The 4372-nt window shown below is 37.0% G+C and overlaps 1 annotated feature.

Moving 5' to 3' along the window:
• Window positions 1677–1971: an enhancer, noted in NCBI's record as "tiled region #12219; K562 Activating DNase matched - State 5:Enh, and HepG2 Activating non-DNase unmatched - State 24:Quies". NCBI's record gives its function as "activates a minimal TATA promoter and a strong SV40 promoter by Sharpr-MPRA in K562 cells, with weaker activity in HepG2 cells {active_cell/tissue: K562 | HepG2}" and the evidence as "EXISTENCE:reporter gene assay evidence [ECO:0000049][PMID:27701403]".

Raw genomic sequence — 4372 nt, forward strand, 5'->3', positions numbered from 1 at the left:
CCATAGATTCCATTTTGGGGGAAAAACCCCCTATTTTCCTCATGTAACCCCAGGAATTGAAAGTGGATGGATCCCTCTCAAAATCAAAGGCTCTGTTCTGTTTTGCATTGTGTTATCTGATGGTTTTAAGTTTTGGGGGTATCAAAAGTTACCTTGCAGTATGAGAGAGCTTTGGTGTGTAATAACTAGGTAGGAAATATACTTTAAGGGATGGCTAATAGTGTTCATGGAGGGATACTTAACTCTTTGCACATTTGAATCAGAGAAGCATGCTCTTGTCCACCTGGAAGATATGGAAACATCCCCACTCCCCATTAAGAGATGAGACTCCATGGAGGATGGGCTAATTACAAAACAAGCCAATTGGCTTTGGGTTGCCTTGCAATGATATGCAAGGTAGAAGCACTGCACTGCCTCCTCCTGTAGCATCTCCCTCATTCTGGGGATCCAAGATCCAGTATAAAATGGCACCCTTAATTTTGGGGATCTGTCTTTGCCTTCAGCTGTGCCTGCTTATTAGGCCCTAAAAATGCATTCCTTCCTGTTCCTCCAAGGGCTTTACCCTGAAGCAGGTAATCCAATTAATAAACTTACAAATGAAAAATCTCAGAAGTGCTGAATCTTCTGTCTGTCTGTGTATATATGTGTTGTGTGTAATGTCTATAAAAAGAGCTCTAATTGATTGGCTTAAAGAAAAATGAGTGCTTAAATCAAGTATTTTTAAAGAAAAAATAAAAAGCTGTAATGCTTTTTAGTTCATATGACTTTAATCTTTAAGAAATAAAAATAGTCTTAAGAATTATTGGTAAAATACAAGGGTCATAAACATGTAAATAGGTGGTCTAAATCATGTAAGTCAGATACTAGGTTTGCTAAATGTTCCAAGGTTGTAAACTACCTGCTTTACAACTTGGTAAGGCCTGGGGACATACGAAATTAACCACACCCCTAAGTATGCTGGAAAAAGTCAGACTTTATCTATGCCTAATACATAATCAAAACAACCTACCAGGTTTCACAGTAAAGTTAAAAATTACCCAAAGTTACCACCATAATGATATAGGAGTTAAGAATGTTTCACGTGTCCGTGTGAAGAGACCACCAAACAGGCTTTGTGTGAGCAACAAGGCTGTTTATTTCACCTGGGTGCAGGCGGGCTGAGTCCAAAAAACGAGTCAGCAAGGGTGGTGGGATTATCATTAGTTCTTATAGGTTTTGGGATAGGCGGTGGAGTTAAGAGCGATGTTTTGGGGACAGGGGGTGGATCTCACAAAGTAACTTCTCAAGGGTGAGGAGAATTACAAAGAAAATTCTTAAGGGTGGGGGAGATTATAAACAACATTGATCAGTTAGTGTGGGGCAGAAACAAATCACAATGGTGGAATGTCATCAGTTAAGCTATTTTCACTTCTGTGGATCTTCAGTTGCTTCAGGCCATCTGGATGTATATGTGCAGGTCACTGGGGATATGATGGCTTAGCTTGGGCTCAGAGGCCTGACAAAGAAGAAATTACTTAGGCAGATAGTGAGGGTATGGAAGTGCTTGGTAAGGTTTTCCTTTTAATGAAAAGCAGCCCAAATCATTTTCTAACAAAGAGCAGCCTGTAAAGTTGGGCCTCAGACATAGACAAGCAACTGGGAGCTTGCAGGAATGAATGCAGGTAGGAAAGAACTAGCTGGGACTAGACATGTTCAAAATGGTGGCTCCATCTTCCCTTATCTGTCAGCCACTGTACAGTAAGGAGCAGACAAGATGGCACCGGCCCAGGGGAGAGTTCATTTGCATAATAAGATTAGGGTGGGATGAGGAGCCTTCCCTGAGAGCTATGTAAACGTCACACCTGATTGAACCAATCTGTGAGCCCTATGTAAATCAGACACTGCCTTCTCAAGCCTGACTATAAAATCCAGCACATTCATTGCTGGCCAGTTTTTTTTTTTTGCTCTCAGAAGCCCCCTCTCTCTCACTAGAAGAGTTGTTTTCCTTTCTCTTTCTTCTGCTTATGAAACCTCTGCTCCTAAACTCCTCATGTGTGTCTGTGTCTTAAATTTTCCTAGCATGAGATGATGAACACTGGGTATTTACCCCAGACAACATAGCCACTTCAATAACATGTAATTTAAACTACTAAAAATAAATTTATATGCAAGATGTGTAAAAACAGTAGAATGTATTTTCTAGTAAAAGATTATGAGAAGGCATGGAAATGTACATTTTTCCTAGTCATAAAAGATTGTCTTAAGTTAGATAAGAAAGCTGAAGGTTTAAGCAAGTTATGGAAAGGTTGTAAAAATTAATCTTGCAAAAATTCCATGTGTAAACATTAACTAAATTCAAAAGGGAATTATATGGTCATTTCATAAATTAAGCATTGAAATAAAGGTTGTCTTAAAACGCTAATCTGCCCTTTAGCAAAAGGGTTATAAAAGGTTTGTAAAGATTTCACCTCATGGTCAAATTGGTTAAGATGAAATGGAATTGTCTATGAGGTTTCATCAAAAAATTGGGGTTAACAATAAACTAATGCAAGGGTAAAATTTTGCTTTGAATAGGATTTTCATGTAATAGTAAAGGCTAATAAAAGGTTTTTGCCTTTTGAGTCATCATTTTGGAAAAATAAATAATTTATTGTAATCTGGAATTCTACTTCATAAAATCAAGTGTTTTAAACCTCTAATATTTAACAGCCTCCCCAAAATCAAACTTCAAATTTCAAAATTGCCTTTCCTGATGTCTAGCTTTCTGGATGGTTCAGAGGGCCCCTGAAGCATCCAGAGAGGTGGTGAACAGAATTATTTGATATGTTTAGTTAGATGGGATTGCCAAAATGATGTTCAATCTTTAAGTTATATTTTGGTGAATAATACTAATATATGTTCCAAAATTGGGGATTTCTAAAATTCTAATGTCTGAATATATGCTATCATCATAATTAAGGTTGTTATGTTAAGTCATTGTAAACCATAGAGATAACCAAACTTCTTTATCAGTTGCATTTTTAACTGTACCCTGGAAATTTTTTCACTTGCAGACAATTGTCTTGCTTTGTTCCTTCTGAAAAGATGATTTATAGTCAAGCTATAAGATGTTAACAGGTGCTCTCAAATGCAGGTTTCTAATAGCTTTGAAGATTATAACATTGGAATATAAAAAAAAGTACAGAACTCATGAAAAGCTAAAATGTTCACAAATATCAACAAAACCAAGAGTTAACCAAGTGAACTCAGAAAGCTAAAGCAACCTTTTCAACTTTTGCTTGGAATATTGCTGATCCTTGTTTTGTTTTTCAGAGTCAAGGAAACTTATTTTGAACTAGTTACAGCCTGTAATAATAATAATACCTCATGAGTAAGGTATACTCCTGTTCATAAAATTTGGAGCATGTTTATTTCTCTCTGTCTGGTTCCTCTGGAATTTGGAAACTATCTGTGAGTATTATTAACTTATGGCAACATGGTTGTTGGCATCAGTGCAATAAGAATCCATTTTTCTTTTGCAACAGGACACCATTGGAAAAAAAAGTGCTTATTTTACCAGTGCTTTGACTGGAAGCATGTGTTTCCCTTTAAGGAATCGAGCTTGACATGCAGAGCAAATAAAAGCCCCTTGGGGAAGACTGGCCTCATTCCTTGTCTACACAGTCCCCATACAGCGTTCCTGACCTGTTGTCAGTAAAGAATGTCACTTTCTAACAGGTCCAGGAGCTCCAAGTTTATCTTGAGAGGATCACCCAATTCACAGGCATTTGAGAATACAATCCCATGGCTGGGCTGGGCTTTAAAAATTCTTATTTCAGTTTCCCTGGGGAATAGAGTTCCATCAAACTCAACCCAAAAGGCCCATGTAGAAATAGTTATTCTTGCTGGACTTTATGCAAATAATCAGGTCAAGTATAAGACTAAAATTTATTCTATGAATAACATGGTCCTATCATAATTTGTTTTTACCAAAATGAGGACAACAAGGAGAAAAATTGTATTCCAAAACTTATACATTTGTCATTAAATTCTAGTCTCATTGTTTTTAAGTTTTTTTTGCTACATTTTAGACTAAACTTGCTTATTCCTGTGAATCAAATCATGATCTCCTGCAGCTCAGAAGAAACACAAAAGGATGGGTAATGTAAAAATCTGGATCAATATGCTAGTTCTGGGCAATTATCCTGAAAATCCTGCCAGGTAATGAAAGTTAGTAGGGTGTCCATAACCCAGAGGTTTCTTTGTTTGGGAAAATAAAGCCAAGGAACTTCATAAACCTCCAAAGGGAAATTGTGTATCTTGGAAAGTAAAATTTTAGATGGAAATAATCCACTATGCCACCCTTGCAGGAATTGCAATACTCACTCTACTATTTGCAGTAAAGCCATATATG

The sequence above is a fragment of the Homo sapiens genome, chromosome 3, assembly GCF_000001405.40.
Source record: "Homo sapiens chromosome 3, GRCh38.p14 Primary Assembly".
In the NCBI taxonomy this organism is placed as follows: Eukaryota; Metazoa; Chordata; class Mammalia; order Primates; family Hominidae; genus Homo; species Homo sapiens.